The sequence below is a fragment of the Homo sapiens genome, chromosome 2, assembly GCF_000001405.40.
Source record: "Homo sapiens chromosome 2, GRCh38.p14 Primary Assembly".
In the NCBI taxonomy this organism is placed as follows: Eukaryota; Metazoa; Chordata; class Mammalia; order Primates; family Hominidae; genus Homo; species Homo sapiens.
Genome location: NC_000002.12, coordinates 82,824,469 through 82,845,035, shown reverse-complemented (window position 1 = coordinate 82,845,035; position 20,567 = coordinate 82,824,469). Strand labels below are relative to the sequence as shown.

General features: G+C 34.6%; 1 long non-coding RNA gene across 1 annotated transcript; it reads right to left on the bottom strand.

The window, feature by feature from the left end:
• Positions 1–6,919: 6,919 nt before the first annotated feature.
• LOC105374831 (uncharacterized) lies at positions 6,920–19,080 on the bottom strand. Its single transcript, XR_001739196.1, has 3 exons — positions 18,880–19,080; positions 17,259–17,364; positions 6,920–7,192 (listed from the first exon to the last, which is right to left on the bottom strand). It is a non-coding gene; the product is annotated as an uncharacterized LOC105374831 (long non-coding RNA).
• Positions 19,081–20,567: the final 1,487 nt, after the last annotated feature.

Genomic DNA, 20,567 nt, shown 5'->3' with positions numbered 1-20,567 from the left:
TTGCTCACTAGATTAAAATGTTATTAGTAAAATATATTTCTGGGAATCATGAAGTTTTTGGTAATTGATCCACAAGTTTATTTACTATTAGATTTAATTGTTCTTTTGTATGTCTGTTTATAACCAATTTGTGTTTAGGTTGAATAATTCTATTAAGTCTAAATTTGTCATGAATTTTACTTTATATATGTTAACAATTTATGGCTGTAAGATGACACTGACCTATACTTGAGCTATAATATATTTACAGAGAGAGAAAAATAACTGCATAGATGCAAAGAATATTGTATTAGGGCTATTAACAATAAACTCCCCAGTAAGTAGCATAATAAAATAATGTCATAGTTTATTTCTTCTCCAATAAGTTAAACAGTAAAACATTAAGGTTTCAGGATAGCAGTCATGTATCACAAAGTATTAGGGAACAAGGTTTTTTCCAGCTCACTGCTCTACTGTCTCCAGCATGTGGCCTTCATCTTTATATTCCAAGATGGCAGCAGCTTCATTCACGGTAGCAGGATCAAGACCATGATGAGAAAAAGTAGATTTGGAGGCTCTCTTTTAAAGAAAGCTTCTAAGAAGTACCACCAGACCTTTCCATTTATATTTAATGGACCGCAGTTAGTTACAAAGCTACATCAGAATGATTCTTCCTATGTCTTTATCCAGGGTAGCCAGGCACTAGCTAAAAACTATTCTACTCTTTAGAATAAAGAGAGATGAAGGAAGTTGACCAACCCATCCTTCCTTCTGAAAATGACAAAGCACGTGATGTTTCCATACTAACAAATAAGAAGCCATAAATGTAAAAAAAAAAAAAAAAAGACTGGATGAATATTAGGAAACAACTTTTAATGTGTTTTTTTCACATCAACTTTCTAAGAGCCCCCTGTTTTTTAGAAACAGAGATATCTTAGAGGGATTCCAGTGCTTTGGGGTATACAGATTCAGAGAATTGTTATAAAGGTTTAAGCAAAATTTTGGAGAGCTCTGAAATTTCAAAGATGAGCGACTTGAGAGAACCGTGTGCTTTTAAGGGAATGGCCCAAATGTTTATATTGATAATGTTAACACAAATGGTACAGATACTAATAAAAGCTTGGTGCTAAGTAATATATCTCACGGAGGAGATCCAAAATGTTTCAGAAATTAAATGTTCAAGTATTCCCCCAAGAAAACACTGGTTGTTGGTGGTTTGGTGAGGTTTACTTCATGTACAACATGATCCCAGGAAGTGAACTGGATTTAGAATAGGACACCAGGGACAATGGAGACTGTTGAGATAGTGAGAGGAGTCGGATGAAAGCATGGTTACTAGCCTTATCTGACATTATAGGACACATAGAGGGCTGCCTCCTTGGGCTTGAAGAAAATCATGCAAGACTTCATCATATGCTCATCCTGAAGTTGCTATTAACATTAATATTTTTTGTAATTGAATGAATAAATTTTGAATAATTTAAGCACAAATATATACATATGTATGCATGCATACATACAAACATATCTACATACATACATACATAAACTTTGATCTGATGGACAAAGGGAAAACTGATGGAAGGCCGGTTTTTTTTTTTTTTTAGCAACTGTTGGAAAATATAAATTAGTATAAAATTTGCAATGTGTTGCTGCTTTTATTATTTGAGGAGAAGTTGATTTGTGAAAAGAGATCTTATGGCTTTACCTCATACTGTTCTTGTGATCTAGCTTCAAGTTATTAAACTACATTTTTAAAGAAGGGTAACCGGATTTGGGCAGAAACCTAATAAGAAATGTCCAGTCTTCACCTTTCTTGCTTCCCTGCAGCATCTAAGATGTGCAAATTCTATGAAACTTTGAAACTATTAACTTCTCCATCCTGCAACACTCTTCACTCTTGGTTTCCAAAATCCTGACAAATTTCTTTGTATGACCCAGAGAAATATCATATTCCTTAAACCTAAAAATAAGCTTATATTTTGTTCAAATCTATAATATTTCTTAGTCACAAGGTATCTCAAGCCAGAGTCCTGTGGCACATTCTTAGCTTACTTTTCTCCCTCACTTCTCACTTCTAGTTAAACTTCATGTTGATTCTACTCCTTTAATGTCCCTTGTTTAGTCCTGTTTCTTTTTATTCACACTTTTTCAACACAATGTTCTATTAATTCTTCACTTGTACAAAATGCTATATAGCTTGTTTCTTTTATTCTTTCATAAACTCACCTACTTTCACATTCAATTGATTCTTTTCCTAGTTCTGAAGGAGATCTTTCTAAACTGTGAACTTTTATTTTGCTCCCTCCTCTTCATATCCTTTTTAGGTCCGCATTTACTCTAGTATTAATTTTCCAAGAATTTGCATAAACTACCAATGCTATCAATGATAAATCTTCTTACAATATTATTCTCATGTTTATCATGTGTTGCCAACAGAGCTAGTTTTGATCATATAGAATTTGGAGAGCTAAGGTTAAGGGAGCCAAAGGCAGCTATAGAAACTCTACGTATGAGAACATTTACTTAGAACTTCAGGGATGAGATTATGTGAATACTAGTCATTAATGATGGTAGAAAGTGAGAGATGCTAGGCCAACATGTGATAGCAATTATGGATCTGTAGCTATGGTTATGAGCAGTTTCTGGTGTTCTACCTTACCTCTGTAAGCCTGCTGGAACAAGTTCTGTGGTAGTTTCCACAAACTCAATTTGCCAGGGACAAGTGGACAAGGATTTATGGAATAAGGATTTTCCAGAATGGTAATGTATAATTTATAGTTCTGGCATTTTGTTATGAGATGATCCTATCACATATTGTTAAAAAGGAGATTCTATTGTAAATCTATCAATCAGAATCTCCAACATGATAGGAGAAAATTAAAATAAATTATATTCAGAAAAAAGACAAGAGAAAACCAGGCAGACTCTGAAATTATTGGTCAAACTGACGGTTCTAAAAAGCTAAACATTAAGGAAATGAACACCAAAAGTTCTAAAGAAAAAAAAGAAAAACAAAAAAAGTTATGTTTATTGAAGTTTATTGGAAAATAGAATCTTCATGTTGTAACTCTAAGCTCCGCTATTTCTCTTATATCTAATCTACCATCTTTTGTAGCAGTTTGGGTAATTCTTAATAGAATCAAAATAACCCAAAACATGCAAATAACTTACTCAAGTCAATTCAACCAGAAAAGCAAAGAGACAAGATTCTAACCTATGTCTGCCTCATTTTTAGGCTTTTGTGGATATATCTTGCTCTCTCTAATAACTTTAAAAGAGTTAGAAAATTGAGAATCAGCTATTTCAGTTCTCTGCTTCAGTGCATATAAAATATTAAATTTCATTTTCCAGGTGAGAAAAATTAAAGATAATGAGTGTTATACTCTTGTTCAAAGTCATAGAGCAATATGTAATAGTTACAGAATTACAAGAAGCAGCAACATGAAGGATTTTATCCTCTCTCCCTCCTTCCTTTCATGCTTTCCTCTCTTCAATCAATATTATTTCTTTATGTAATGCTTTACGGCAAAAGTAACTTCAGCCACCCAAGAAGTGATGCCGACATGTCCTCCACAAATCTATTTATTCTATTCCTAATACCTTAAAATTTTGTGATACTTGTTGATTTTGTGAATCTGCCATCTCACCAGTATCTGTACATCTATGAACCTTTGTCTTCTCCCTTAGATTTCTTCCATCCCACCACACTCAAAGAAGAATGCTAATTTACCCTCTTCTGAGATGTCAGGGTGCATAGTTGATCATATACTTTATCGGATAAAATAGCACAATCCCACTGTTATGCTTAAAGGGTAAATTTTCATATCAATAAGACTCACTAAGATAACAATCTAAAAGCAAAAGATACCAAAGGAGAGAAAGCCAATGGCTTTTGTATATTATTCCATGATAGAACACACTCTTCCACAAGAAAGATATTCTTTTTTTTTTTTTTTTTTTATTATACTCTAAGTTTTAGGGTACATGTGCACATTGTGCAGGTTAGTTACGTATGTATACATGTGCCATGCTGGTGCGCTGCACCCACTAATGTGTCATCTAGCATTAGGTATATCTCCCAATGCTATCCCTCCCCCCTCCCCCGACCCCACCACAGTCCCCAGAGTGTGATATTCCCCTTCCTGTGTCCATGTGATCTCATTGTTCAATTCCCACCTATGAGTGAGAATATGCGGTGTTTGGTTTTTTGTTCTTGCGATAGTTTACTGAGAATGATGGTTTCCATTTTCATCCATGTCCCTACAAAGGATATGAACTCATCATTTTTTATGGCTGCATAGTATTCCATGGTGTATATGTGCCACATTTTCTTAGTCCAGTCTATCATTGTTGGACATTTGGGTTGGTTCCAAGTCTTTGCTATTGTGAATAGTGCCGCAATAAACATACGTGTGCATGTGTCTTTATAGCAGCATGATTTATACTCATTTGGGTATATACCCAGTAATGGGATGGCTGGGTCAAATGGTATTTCTAGTTCTAGATCCCTGAGGAATTGCCACACTGACTTCCACAATGGATGAACTAGTTTACAGTCCCACCAACAGTGTAAAAGTGTTCCTATTTCTCCGCATCCTCTCCAGCACCTGTTGTTTCCTGACTTTTTAATGATTGCCATTCTAACTGGTGTGAGATGATATCTCATAGTGGTTTTGATTTGCATTTCTCTGATGGCCAGTGATGATGGGCATTTCTTCATGTGTTTTTTGGCTGCATAAATGTCTTCTTTTGAGAAGTGTCTGTTCATGTCCTTCGCCCACTTTTTGATGGGGTTGTTTGTTTTTTTCTTGTACCAAAACAGAGATATAGGTCAATGGAACAGAACAGAGCCCTCAGAAATAATGCCGCATATCTACAACTATCTGATCTTTGACAAACCTGAGAAAAACAAGCAATGGGGAAAGGATTCCCTATTTAATAAATGGTGCTGGGAAAACTGGCTAGCCATATGGAGAAAGCTGAAACTGGATCCCTTCCTTACACCTTATACAAAAATCAATTCAAGATGGATTAAAGATTTAAACGTAAAACCTAAAACCATAAAAACCCTAGAAGAAAACCTAGGCATTACCATTCAGGACATAGGCGTGGGCAAGGACTTCATGTCCAAAACACCAAAAGCAATGGCAACAAAAGACAAAATTGACAAATGGGATCTAATTAAACTAAAGAGCTTCTGCACAGCAAAAGAAACTACCATCAGAGTGAAGAGGCAACCTACAACATGGGAGAAAATTTTCGCAACCTACTCATCTGACAAAGGGCTAATATCCAGAATCTACAATGAACTCAAACAAATTTACAAGAAAGATATTCTTACACTCAAAAAATAAGTCAAAAATACAGATTAACAATGGAAGTAAATTTTTTTTTTTTTTTTTTCAGACAGAGTCTCACGTTGTAGCCCAGGCTGGAGTGCAGTGGCATGATCTCGGCTCACTGCAACCTGTGCCTCCCGGGTTCAAGCAATTCTCCTGCCTCAGCCTCCCGAGTAGCTGGGACTACAGGCGCGTGCCACCACGCCTGGCTAATTTTGTATTTTTAGTAGAGACTGGGTTTTACGGTGGTAGCCAGGATGGTCTCTATCTCCTGACCTCATGATCTGTGCGCCTCAGCCTCCCAAAGTACTGGGATTACAGGCATGAGAGCCACCTCTCTTGGCCGGAAGTAAACTCTTAAGCAAGGATTGGTTTTGACAGGGATTCCTTTTTCTCCCCTTTTCATCCACTTCCCCTTAGGTTAATTCCATACTTAACCACTTTATTCGCTTCAAGTCTATTATTTCTGAATCATTGCCTTTGACTCTTGTTATTTATTCATTTATTTATTTATTCAAGCATTGACAATTCTGAGACTTTTCCAGCTCAGCAAACTACAGATCATTCATCAGCATGTAAATGCCATTCCAGCAGTGACCTTGACATTCCTAAAACAACATGGTCTATTTCTTATCCCTGATACATCAGGCCAATGTCCACGTTATAGAGCAATTCAAAATCTAAGAAGAAACTTGATTATTTTAAAGTTTATGTCACATTTTTAGGTTATATTTTTGTAAATAGTCTTGTATTAAACATTTTTGTAAATGTTTTGTATTAGAAATAAGCATCGAACAAAAGTGTAAGAAATCAGCAGGTGGTAGTAAGGCATTCTTTATTCTTCATTGGCAAGATGAAATTTACTTCTCAATTTTGACCTTTTTTCTCTGGAATACGTTGCTTGTAGTGGCATGGTCAGTAGTAGTGCTCAAGTTCCAAGCAGCATTGCAAACAAAGAAAGCTCTAATCCTCTGATTTGAACAGTCAGGTTGTCATACACTGTATATGCCCCTTCATTCACATTGTTCCATCAGCCTGGAAAGTCCTTTTTTTCTTGTGAACTTCTTTACTACCAAAGCTACATCCCCAAGCAAGACCTCCCTGACCTTTTAAGCATTGAGCAGAAAAAAATACTGTATGCGAACATAGAAAACCTCAGGTTTAAATATAATTTTACCAATATTATCTGCATAACTTTGTCAGGCATACTTATCTGCTCTGCATTTTCCTAAAATGTATAATAAAAAAATATTTACCCTGGAGGATAATTTTTTTAAAATATACATACTAAATTTAAAGTATCTAGCACATGGGAGACACTCAATAAGTGTTAGGCAATCTTTTCATTACTATTTAGTTTTCCTAATTTTTAATAATTAACTTCCTATTTTTATAGTAGTTATTTCACCTCTTAATGGATCCCTTTGCCTCCATGACTGTTTATTATCCCAGGATCAGTAGAAATACAGTAAGTTGGGAGAATTAATGTGCTAAATATCCTGGGAAGCACAAGCCCAGAGTGATGAGAATGACAGAAAATAGAAAGAAGCAACTGATGTGATGCAATGAAAGTCAGTTCCTCACGGTTGTGGTTAACATTTCACATTCAGCAGTGATGAGACACAGCAGATGAATCAGCATGCAGAACTTACAATGGATTGAGAGAAGTACCGTTCAAAGTAGCCTTCTACAGTAGGGGAAGTGTATGTGCCTGGATCCTTTCTGCTTCCTATCCTCACAGTTATAGATTCACCGCATAGGGAGAGAACATGTCCCATTTCTGAGTTCAATCAGCTGGCTGCCCAGTGGACATTCTGAAAAATTCTGAAAATAGAGTTCCATATCTCTCTGGTATGGTGCTTCATGCACATCTGAAAAAGGAATGACAACTTGGTGGAAGTGGGTACTACCAGAGAAGGTAAATGAATAGCAGTTGAGGGATCTGAGAAGGCACACCTGGTTTTTATGCCAATTTTTCACAACAGATTGAGCAATACTTGAGTACAAAGACTTTGTTATCTTTTGTTTTATATCTGACACTTGGTATAGTTCCTGACATTGAGTACCTGCTTGTAATATAAATAAATGAATCAATTGAAGACAACACACATAAGCAACATCATGATACCAAGGTAGACTGTCCATTACTTTATTACTTGGAAGATATAATATAATAATTACTCAGTGAATGACCTGCACAGCATTAGCAGATTGAGTTGGATTGCTGGTTCAAGTTATTTTTATTTATTTACTAATTAATTACAGTGAATGAATCATCTATTTGTTTATAAGGATTACCAAATCAATAGAGAAGAAAAAATCAAAACAAAGCAATCTAGCATGATATCTATCACACCTTTACACCTTTAAAAAGATTGTCTTACTTTTTTTGCATGTCTTTCTCCATCTGTTACCTTCTAAAATGTCCTTAGAACTAGCTGGAGGTAGATTTCCACACCTCTGAGTGGTGCTTCTCTTAACCCATCCTAAGACCCTACTTAAGTCACTTACTACAAACCTACAATAATGTAAAGAGTATGATAGCGTATAAAAACAGATACATAGACCAGTGGAATAGAATAGAGAATCCAGAAATTAATCCACATATCTACAGCCAACTGATTTTTGACAAAGGTGGCAAAAACACTGACTGGAGAAGTCTCTCTGATACATGATGCTGCTGAAAAAACTGGATATCCATATGCGGAAGAATAAAACTAGACACCCACTTCTCTCCCTATATAAAAATCAACTCAGAATGAATCAATCATCTAAATATAAGACCCAAAACTATAAAACTACTAGAATAAAACATAACGAAACACTTCAGGATGTTGGTCTGGAAAAAGATTTTATGAATAAGATCTTAAAAGCACAGGCATCAAAAACAAACATAAACAAATGGAATTATATCCACAAAGTGAAAAGACAAGCTACAGAATGGAAGAAAATATTTGCAAACCATTCATTGGACAGGATAATAATATTCAGAAAATGCAAGGAACTCAAGCATCTCAACTGCAGAAGAAAAAATGTGATTAAAATTGGGCAAATGAACTGAACAGACATTTCTTAAAGGAAGACTTACAGTCAGTCTGGCCAAGAAGTAAATGAAAAAATTCTCAACATCACTAATCATCAGGAAAATGCAAATCAAAACTGCAATGAGGTATCATCTCACCCCAGTTAGAATGACTATTATCAAAAAGACAACAAATAACAAATGCTGATGAGGATGCATAGAAAAGGAGAATTTTATACACTGTTAGTGGGAAAGTAAATTTTGTTAAGTTATATAAGCCAGGAACATAAACAGTGCATGTTCTCAATTATATGTGCAAAACAAATAAGTTGATCTCATAGAAGTAAAAAGTACAACAGAGGATACTAAATGCTGGGAAGAGTAGAACAAAGAGAGAGATAGGAAGATATTTGTTACAGGATACAAAATTACAGTTAGATGGGAAAAATAAGTTCTAGTGTTCTATACCACTGTAGATTGACTCTAATTAGTAATAATATAGAGTTTCAAATAGCTAGAAGGAGAATATTGAAAGTTCCCAACATACAAATAATAAACATTTAAGATAATGGATATGCTAATAACACTGATTTGATTACTACATATTATATAGAGAGAAAGACTGTGAACCCCACAAATATGTGCAATTATTATGTGTCAATTAAAATATAAAATAAAATGTAAATAAAATATTCTCAGACCTTGTTGCCCCCCTCTTTAAATTCACCATCTCTGAGTTTTCATCATAACATCCTGAAAAGCCAAAAATACTCTATATTGCACATATACCCTGAATAGATTCCCTTCAAGCTTTTTACCTTTATACAGTTTGGTTTTTTTTTGTTTCACTGTGTATGTTTACATGTGTCTCCGTGTGTTTGTGTGTGTGTATGTGTATACCACAAATCACTAGGAAGCAATTACAATACATTTTTAAATCCCCTAAATATTTTCTTGATTTGTAATTTTAGGAAAATTGCTCATAATTGCATAGCAAAGAATGGAAAACATGGTAGGGACAATCTTTCAAATGCTTTTGTGCTCTCACTGGCACAGAGAGATAGATACTATATTTGCATAACATGCAGATGAACAACTTTGTTAAATAAAGTATCTACTTCAGGCAAATTTATTAATATTTCTTGAATCATTCAAGTGGCCAGCAGTTTCCCTTGGGAAAATCTTTGAGAGGTTGACAGTTATGTGTCACATGAGCCACCATTTGCTGCTTTTCCCCCTTTACTCCCACCCAACCCCATACACATAGCAATGCCTGATCATTGATCTATATTCCTATACCATTTTTGAATTTGAAAAACATAGTCTTAATTATTTTGGTGGGTTAATCCCCGTTTTGCTGCTTCCTAGACAGAGATTGTACCACCTGCAGATTAGTGTTTTGTATTTATTTTGCCACTGATCAGCAGGGATTTGCATAGGGTTCAAATATCTCAATGAAACATTTTAAAGCTCTGATTTTACTTAACGTGTAGTGTACCAAAAGTCCTACCTTTGCATATATTAAAGAAAAATACATGAAGCCCTCTGGTACTTAGCTAAATGTCCCAGAAGCAAAAATGTAGATCAGCATTTTCCAAATTGCAAACACATCATTTACAAAGTATTTGGGCTTTCCTTTAGGGAAAAGTACTGTTTTAATGATAAAATGAGTTTTTGAAACTTGTATACTCTCTTCTATGCTCCTTTCCCACCACCATGCATATATTTGTATTACTGATATATAAATTAAATCTTCAAATACATACTTGTGTTGTTTATTTCAGTGCTACCTAATCTTCTGTGTTCTAAGAAATCTTTAATCATAGAATATCTATAAATACATCCTGGGAATTTAGTGTTCCACAAAACGCACTTTGGAAAACTTGGACTAAATGTAATACACCAGAGACATGGTAACCGGTTTCGGTTATTCTTCAAATCCTCTCTCAAATACTTTACCCACAAAAAGCCTTCCCACATCTCTTCATATACCTGTAACTAACTTGTGGAACTACTATTAAAACTGCCATAATAGTATGACTATAGGTATGAGTATAGAGTCATTCAGGATAACTATTTAAATAACATATTACATAGTACCAATTATTTTATATAGAATTTATTTGGTTTTTCATAACAATTATTCAAGGTGGGTTTTAATATCCTATTTACAGATGATGACATCATAGCTCAAATCATTTATTTATTTTTTTTATTTTTTTTATTTTTTTTTTTTTTTTTTGAGACGGAGTCTCGCTCTGTCGCCCAGGCTGGAGTGCAGTGGCGCGATCTCGGCTCACTGTAAGCTCCGCCTCCCGGGTTCACGCCATTCTCCTGCCTCAGCCTCCCGAGTAGCTGGGACTACAGGCGCCCGCCACCACGCCCGGCTAATTTTTTGTATTTTTAGTAGAGACGGGGTTTCACCGTGTTAGCCAGGATGGTCTCGATCTCCTGACCTCGTGATCCGCCCGCCTCGGCCTCCCAAAGTGCTGGGATTACAGGCGTGAGCCACCGCGCCCGGCCCAAATCATTTATTTAAAAGTGCCCCAGTTCATTTGAGTGAGCTCTTTTTATTTTATTCCATTTACATGGTACCTTCCTTATGTTTCTCTCTAGGTAGACTTTGAGGTTTTTATTTCTTTTTCTTTTTCTTTCTTTCGTTTTTTGAGACAGAGTCTTGCTCTGTTGCCCAGGCTGGAATGCAGAGGCACAATCTCTGCTCACTGCAACCTCCTCCTCCCAAATTCAAGCGATTCTCTTGCCTCAGCCCCCAGAGTAGCTGGGACAACAGGCACGAGTCACCATGCCGAGCTCAGTTTTGTATTTTTAGTAGAGACAGAGTTTCACCATGTTGGCCAAGCTGGTCTTGAACTCCTGACCTCAAGTGATCTGCCAGCCTCAGCCTCCCAAAGTGCTGGGATTACAGGCATGAGCCACTGCACCCGGCCTAGACCTTGAGCTTTAATGAGCAGAGATTACCACAAACCAACCTTTGATTTCAAGCCTCCCCTGCCTGGATCAGCCACGTGAATTTTTTTTGCTGGTAATTGTTCAGAATTTTTCTTCTGCCTTTATATCTGTGCATATATCTATGTTTGTAAATTTCTTGTAGACAAATTTAATATCTGAAAATAATTGTTAGTAAAGAGGAAGTATTATTTGTAAATGGTAGACTTTTCAGCCCTAACTGTTTAACATTTTTATTTTCTTGACTTGTAAGAACATCCTTAGAAAAAGTATCAAGTGACCTGGAAATAAGAAGATCAAATAGAGTGAGTTACTCAAGAATCTTTAGTATGCTATGTTCAGACATTTTGAATTACCATGTAAATTGTAATTTCTTCTTTCTTACTTTTTCTCTCTCTTTCAGTTTTTGGTCCTAAAAATCAGTCCTAATTTAATCATGAACATGTCTAAAATGGAGGCAACAATGTTTGACATATTTTGCTATGGATTTGCTAACAAAATTTTTGTACATTTCATTAATAATATTCTCTGGAAACACTAAAGTTACTTTTCTAATAACACATACTTAATTTTTTCACATCAATATGTCAGATTTGGTAAGCGTGTGAAACAGCTAGAGTAGCTTTGGACATGTCCCCATCCTTCTTCTGGACCTTTCTATTACTCAGACTGCATGATCTCTGGACACCCATCCTGTGTACCATTTAGAGCAAAATATTTTCTTTGAAATCTTATTTTAAAAATCTATTAAAGTGTTCAATCCAAGCTTTTCTTCATAGAAACTTTTGAATTTTAATTGAGGACACATTGAGAGGTTTAATAACCTAAGTCACACATTTCTACTAGCAAAATTTAGCATAAGAGAAGGAGAATAGATAAATTCAAAGTGGTGTACCTTCTGAGAATCCTTTAGAACATGGCCTGTGAATGTGTATGGTATTCGTTATTATCTGGAGAAACTGGCTAAGAGGTGTAGTAGAGCTTGACTGTCAGTCCTTATATTGGGGTTACACTCTGGTAGGGAAATAGAATATGTCCAAGTGAGAATTCAAGGCTGAAACTAAGATAAATATGCTATCCAACAGAGTTGAAAGACAAGATCTTGACAAGAGAAAGCCTATGGGAGGAAAAAGAAAAAAAGGTTAGTTATTAAAGCTGGGAAGTAAGGGAAGTAACAAGGGAAACAAGAATAAGATTTCAAAGCTAATTTCCCTTACCTAATATGAATTCTTAACTTTTTGGTAAGGTTGTCATGTCACCACATTCAGATGCAAAACACACTCAGAGAGCGTGTCTTAAAATGCATTACTAGAAAGTGAAATCCTTTGAGTGTATTGTATTCAGAGTGATTGGTTGAGAGCAGAAATAGAAATATTAATGTCTTTGTTAGTAGAGTTGAATTAATGAAGTGATGAAATAGGAAACAGTAACATGTAAAATTATGAAAACTTAGCACCTGGAACATCTGTCTGACTGGTTTTTGAAAACGTTTCATTTGTATTTTAACAGCCTAGAAAAAGTGACAGTCTTTCTGCCACACATTGGTTTCAGAGGCTGGTGCTGCACATATAAAACAACTTCCTTCTGAGGGTTTCCTCAGATATACTGTAAACATTAACGTAAGCTTTGAAAATAAGCCTCTGAGTAGGATTCACTTGCTGCCTGAATTATTCTTTCCTGCTGTTGGAATTTCATAAATGCCCAAGTTTTTAAACTTAGTGTTTATAAATATCTAGACCTAAGCAAAAGATTACTTCTACATGCAGACACTCTGCTGAACCAATTATTTCAAATATCCAGAGGATTTGGCCTCATGCTGATCTTACACAAATAAGCTTGATTTGTATATAAATGAATGATTGAAGTGTACACATAAGTTTTCCAGGAAGCACTGTATCTTCAAGTTTCTTGTATCTTCAGCCAAAGACAGCGATAGCACCACAATACATAAATAGCAATTTTTATCAGGATTTCTGCTCTTATCACTTTGTATTTGTGATACTGTCGTATTTATTCATCATTCATTTTAAAATTTGTAACTTACATTAGACTTATCATAGGTCCTTAAGCAGATAACTGAATGCAGTGAGAGACAGAAGTTTGGTTGTTTTAGTTTTAGTCTGTTTGAAAATTTTGAACTGTTAGCACCTGGATCACAGCTGACAACAGGTTGGTGAAATTCAGTGGGGCCAAGGAAGAAGAAGGTTTGTCTAACAGTGGAAGGTATTAAGATTGAATTCACTGAGTGGGCTGGCAGTATCTAACCACCAAAGCACCAAACTTCTGAGTAGAGCCTCTTTTTGAATCAGAATACCTGAGTAAGTCAATGAAATATCAACACTAAGGAATATCCCTTCATCTTGTGAGTAAAGCTGTCTTATAGATGTATGCAGTTATGGTCTAGTACATGAAGCAGTCATTTTGTGGAGAAGAGAAGAAATCAACAAGAAGTAGTGGACATGATTAAGCCCTCTGTCTTCTGAATAGCCCTTGTAATTCTAATGCAAACCATGGCAACATTTAAACCAAGAGTTCTGAGTAAACAAACATAGGTGAACAAACCTTGCTGGGTATTCTAGATCCGTCAATGTGGTATGCAAAGCTCTAGACTATAGGTCCCAAATTATGTGAATATTACGCATGATGATTCCAGGTGGGTCTAGGTACATCTAATTGCTAATTATTTCCCATATGTGTCATGCTCTTTCAAGGTTCTCTTTGACTATTCACTATTTTTGCCTAAAATTGCCTTACACTTTCTCTCTTTAATACAATCCTGTATCATGTCTGCAAAGTCTTTAGAAGATTCACCTTAAAAGTTTCCTTTCCTGTGATGACTATGTTGGACTTTTCTTTCCCTGTAGTCTCACAAAATTTTGCTTATACCTTTTTTAGAACACTTATTCAGCTTTGCTTTAATAACCTATTTGCATGTGTGTCTCATCTAATAAACATGTTATCTCTTCAAAGACAGGACCTTGTATTTTTATCTGTGTGTCCACAGAGCTCAGAATTGTGCCTGAAATGTAGTATTAAAAAATGTGTATTGAATAAATGCAAGAATCTATTAATCTCACTTCTAGCCTTCATCTTGCATGAATGTTTGAGGGACTCCCTCTTATTTCTTAAATTGTATGCTCCAGGAGTATGAAAGGTAGTGTTATACAGAAAGCAATAAAATCTAAAGGCACAACAGGCAGTGTGGGTTTTAATTGAGAGATACTCATTATATGCTATGCCACCCTAAGAAAATTATAGTCTGTCTAGTTTCAGAAGTAGTTTGACCTTTTAGGACCTCTCCAGAGTTTACAATCTTTTGAATATGTAAGCCATTTGACATAGGTTGCCAATTTTAGACTTGCAAATAATTAGCTTGCCAAAATATTAATGAATACATATTTTGAATATATTTCAAGTAAACTCACAATGTGTAAATGACATAATTGAATATTATGGAAAATAACTCTAGGTTGTATTTATAGAAAAAGATGTAATCAAGCAGGAGCAATATTAGATTTTTGTTTCTTAGCATTAATATTTAACTTATTTTATCCTGAAACTGACCAGAATAGAACTTTATGTGTCAATAACAATACCTCACTATTTTTAGAAAGAAAAAAAGTACTATATGTATACTAAATCTTTCTCTCTGTTACACACACACCTCAGAGACTTTGCTTATGTTTCATGAAGAATAGAATGCTCATTGACTGGCAGGCAGCTGGAAGACCCGAGTAACTCTAACAAATTATTAGACTCTGACTTAGCAAATAATTTTCTCCTGAGACCTCATATTTATAAACAGGTGAAAGGAGAGTGGTACATCAAATTATCTTTAAACTTTTTTCCAGCTTTTAATTTTATTTTTTCATGATTTCTGAAATTAAAATAAAACAAAAGCACAGAAATGAGTATTCTTGGTTGCCTCAGAAATGTCAATCTTCTATTTCTTCTATTAGATGGCAAGTGTGGAGACATCCCTTGTCAGATGGAGAATTGCAAGGTTACCATTACTCTCAATATGCATTTAGTTTTTGTTCTACCTAGCAGGTTTGAAGCAGGATGAAGCAAACATCATTATCGAATAGAACAGAACAAATAATTTGTGTTCTACCTAGCAGGTATGAAGCGGGATTAAGCAAACATCATCATCAAATAGCATTTGATGTTGGGAAAATAAGTTTTTGGGCTTTTCCTATATCTGCAAAAAGTCATGAACACACTCTTGAAGAACAATCAATGTAGTTAATGAAGGTTGGCTCTCCAAAGTAAAGACTTGAGTTACGAATAATGTAAACACTTTTGCTCAAGTTCTCTAAACATACCCCATTATTTCTATCTGTCTGCCCTATCATGCCTGTGAAATATAAAAATTCCAGACACTGTAGTAGATAACTGTGTTGATAATGTCAAAACTCAGATATTCACCAATATTGGGATACTGGGCATGGTGCAAAATTAATGGGATTAAAGATACACTATATGGAATTGTCTCTATGTAAGTAAGTTTTAAAGAATTAAACAGTTTTCTAGAGAGAGTGTCTGAATTAGCCAAGTGCTCTGAATAACTGCAGTACATTCCTTCACTTCCTCTTCCCTTACCCTTTTGTCCTTGTCTTGTCTACTAATTTTTAAGCAGTCTATATTTTCAACCTGGAGTATAAACTGTGATGGCTCCAAATGGCCACTGCACTTTTCTCATTATGTCACTTTTGTTCTAATAAACTTCTAAAAGTCACTTTCAGCAAAATGTAAAGCTTCTATGAAATTAAGAATGGATATTTCATTCAACTTGCTTGACGGCTGCCTAAATCTGAGTAGAGTTAACTAGATTTATTTCTGAAAACAGTTTATTTTGCATGAATACATTATCATATCAAGAGCTTCTGAAATATATAAAAATATAGAAAAGTGAACAAATTCTCCAGGACCTTCTCTTTTACTTTTGCCTCAATTAAAAATGTTCATTATTACTATAAAATAAAATTTTCAAGCACTGAAAAATAGATCAAGAACAAATTATTTATATTGTCATAATATAGTGATTCCCTTGTTAATGTCATGGTGGATTTCCTTCTAGTCTTTCTTTCTATACATAGAAAGTATTAATAATATAATATTTAATATAAGCATTATATTACTGTATGAATAATACTTTTATTTCTGTAATTATTATATTTATATATACATGTATAATTTTGTAACTTGAATTTTAAATTAACATATGAATTAATACTACTCTTTGTAACCATAAAAATGTGTTTAGTCAAGTTTAACCTAAATTTAATATCTGGCATTTTAATAAATTCATTAAAAAGGTCCATGTTTTAGAATAGATTTTAAAGTAGTATCACTATTATTGTTTATACAGTTAATAATAATTACATTAATAAAGTATTTATTGAGCCTACTAAGCTAAATCATTTATTTAAATATTCCATTGAAACCTCTCCTTAAGTCTATGGTGAAAATTAGAGTTATTATTTTCCTATTGCATATAAGAAAAATGAGGTTGAGAGATATTTAAAATTATCCTTAGGTCATAGGACAAAAGATGAAGCAGGAATTCAACACACATCTGTATGTGTTCTTAGACCAATCCTCCTGGAGATTAAAGTAAAGAAAGTTGAAATAGGCAGATGCAGAGAAGTTGAAGCATGAGTGTATTTCAAGTACCAGAAAACAACACGAACTTACAAACACAACATACTGTTTTATTTTTCCTTTTGCTTTTATCATGTGGGGTTCTGTGTTTCACCTTCTCTTTTATCTTAGTTCTTTAGATGTAATAGAGCCCATTTAACTGCCTTCAATACCAAAAGTTTTCTTTTTAGTTTTTCCTGATCTCTAAAACTTAAGGAACTAACTAAAATTTAGTGAACTGACTATAACTTAGGGAACTAACTCCCCAACAGAACTTAATCTAGAACCCAATTTACATTCCTTACTTTGTCCATCTATGAATCCAGGGCACCCAGTGAAACTGGAGATAGTTCCTTTTCTGTGAGCAGCCTTGTTATAGGTCCCAGGTTAAGAAACTGACAGTATTTTTTTCTGAAAAAGAGAGAAAACTGAATGAGGAATGCAAAGTCAGCATCTAAATGCACACCTGACGATAATGAAATAGAAGACTAAATTGAGCAGAAAAATAATAATTTTAGAATGATGAAACAATATTCATTACATTAAAAGACATTTCAAGCTTTCAGGTCTCAGAAATAACTCTTTTGAAAGTATTTTCTTTATGAAACAGGGGCAGATTTCTCAAAAAAAACTATATAAAATAGGCGCTATTAAAAATATTATGAATAAGAATCAGCAAAATAAAAAACGTAGTAGTCAAAATAAGACCTCACTTAGAAAATTGAAAAATCTTAAGATAGAAACCCTGGTTAGCAATATAGAAGATTACTTGGAAACTATTTTGAGACTGCAAGGACATACTTTTAAAAAGAAATGGTAGAAATATCATGGAAAATGAGCCAGATATTTAAAATAGGAATTGCAAGTGTCCTAGAGTATAGGATAGTCCTGAAGCAATAATTGAAAAAATTTGCCTAGGTAGATGATATTAGAGATTCTACATTAAGAAGGTTCATACAATTCCAAACAAAAGTAATGATCAGAAATTAATGTCAAGATACTGTGAGTAAAGTGTTACTTAAACTATTATGAAAATTTCTTAATAATTTGTAAGTAGATAAAATTGCCTTCAAAAGCACTAAATTCAATTTAACCTATAAATTTCCCCTTGTACCAATACATTCAATTAATAGAACAATAGACACAAAATCATAACGGGAGATTGCTTGGATTCCAGATTTTACATTTCTGTTAACCTATAATTTATAAAAGTGTAGTAGAAAGGTAATTCTCCAAAATGAGAAGATAGAAAGTATAACATGCAATTACATTTGCTATAAAATTCTTTAAAAATATTCACAACATTACCAAGCAATAATCGTAACAAAAATTAATGAGTGGAGAAGTTGCATTTGAAAATAGCTAAAGGCATTTTTCCACAAGAAAGAATGTATTTACATTTGTCTTTTGGTCTACATTAGGACTGTTCATACAGATCATACATATTCATTATTTAGAGGACTTAGTCAAGGATCCTTTCCCATATTCATTTTTACCTCTCCTCTCAAATATCTCATAAACATCTCAAGCTTAAGAACTTAACCCTAGATTTTCCTTACCACATGAAATGTCTGCCTGTGATTCCATATTTTGGCAAAGAATACCTGCAAACCTGCAGTTATTTAAGCCAGAACTCGAAATCAACATTTCCATATTCCCAACGCATCATAAAATATCAATGACTCTACATTCAAATCATAACTCAGGTTACCTCCATTCTGTTTCTCTGTTGCCACACCTAAATTCAAGCCTTCATAATCCCTTGCTTCAAATATTACAGCATCTTCTTAATTGCGTATCTCATTAACATTTCTGCCTCCGTCCCTTCTCCCTCTGAATACACCCAACCACATCAATTTATCTTCTACATAGTGGCCAGTGTATTTTTTAAAAATGAGATTATGACTTATGGTTAAGACACTATACCTTGTCTCTGTCTACTTAAATGCTGCCATTGCCTAAGTCTTAAATTCCTTTTCTCAGAGTCAGTCCTTGACTCTCAAATCGATATTAAGTCTTCTTTTAAAATTCCATTCATGTTCCCATGGAGTTTCTTTCAGAATGTTCATCTCAATCAGTAGTCATATACTTCTTTCACAGTATTCGGCACAATTTGTACCTATTCATTTCACGACTTGCTTCTCTGTTATATTTTAAGGTCCTTGACAAAGTGGCCCAATACGTGTTTGGGATGATCTGTATATCAGATATCAGATCTCCTTGCACAGAGCACAGATATCAGATCTCCTTCACAGAGCAGGTACTTGCTACTACAGGATTAACTCATGACTGGCAATTATTTTATTATGTTGCCATTAAAGAATGTTTCAAGCGACATCAAATAGGTACATAAAACATAATGTGCAAATTCAGAGGAAAACTATTATGCATTTAAGCTTTAACTATTTGCAGTGGGTTGATTGTAAACCACTGAAGGGATTGATTTCAACAAGCTAACATCATGACCAGGGCATTCTAGGGCATGTGGGACTCTTTTGCAACGGCTCTTAGATTGACATGTTTCTGAAAAATGGAGCACCAAGTGCTTTCTCAACCATATACTCATTAGAAAAAAGAAAAGGCGGAATGAGGTGACAAGAGCTGAGAACAAAGCAGTGACATTGGAATTTTCTCCTCTCTCCGAAAATATTGTATAGGAAGAGTTTAGAGCTTCCATATGCATCTTGCTTTAAAGTGCTCAAATCTACTAAAATAATTTTAAGTAGAACTTCCTTGAAATAAGTACATGAGAACTGGGAGAGAAAAAGTTTGTGTATTGCGACTTGAAACTACCCTCAGCAACAAGAAGGCAAGTTTAAGGTCACTGAGCACAGGTCACGTGGCATGGGTTCATCACTACTGTTGAAGTAAGAACCAGGTGATTAAAACACAGGTTTCATTCTTTGACAATTTTGCAGAAAACAATCTTGTTTCTGTTTGCCAACTTGTATAGGCAACATGTTATAAGGGAAATAAAATACTTTAAACCAGATTTTTTAGTGTGCCAGCAGGTACAAAGCCAGAATTTTCCATCTTGTGCTTTGTCTTTTAGGCAAATTTAGAGAAATAATTTACCTAGCCTCATAATTTGGATATTACATAATTGCTACGTAAGTGGAAATTTCCTTAAGATCAATAACTTGCTTAGTCCAATGGCACCAGGGCCATCATTATATCCCCATGCCTGGTACCCAAGCATATTGCAAATGACGGAATGTGCAACTTTTATTCATGTTCAATCCAGTTTATGGTGCTTTTAGTCACAGAAAACATTAGACTGTATTTTCTTTTCAGATTAAACACTAATGACCCATCAAAAACAGCTGCAGCATCTCTAAAAAAAGTGAATGGTGGGACACATGAGCACAGTTCTGCCATTACCTTGGTTTTCAGTAATACCAGCTCTCTCCCCAGTTCCTGGTTTTCTGTTATTTGCATTTGTTGTTGAAAAGAAGGTTTATCTGAATTCTTCATAGGCAAAAAGAGAAGACCTATTTGTCAATGTTTTCTGTATTCAAAGCAAATATGGTTAGCCTACACACAACCCCTCAAATCTTGGCTTTATATCTTAGTCATCAATCCCATTAGTAAGGACACTGTTTGTGAGTGGAAGC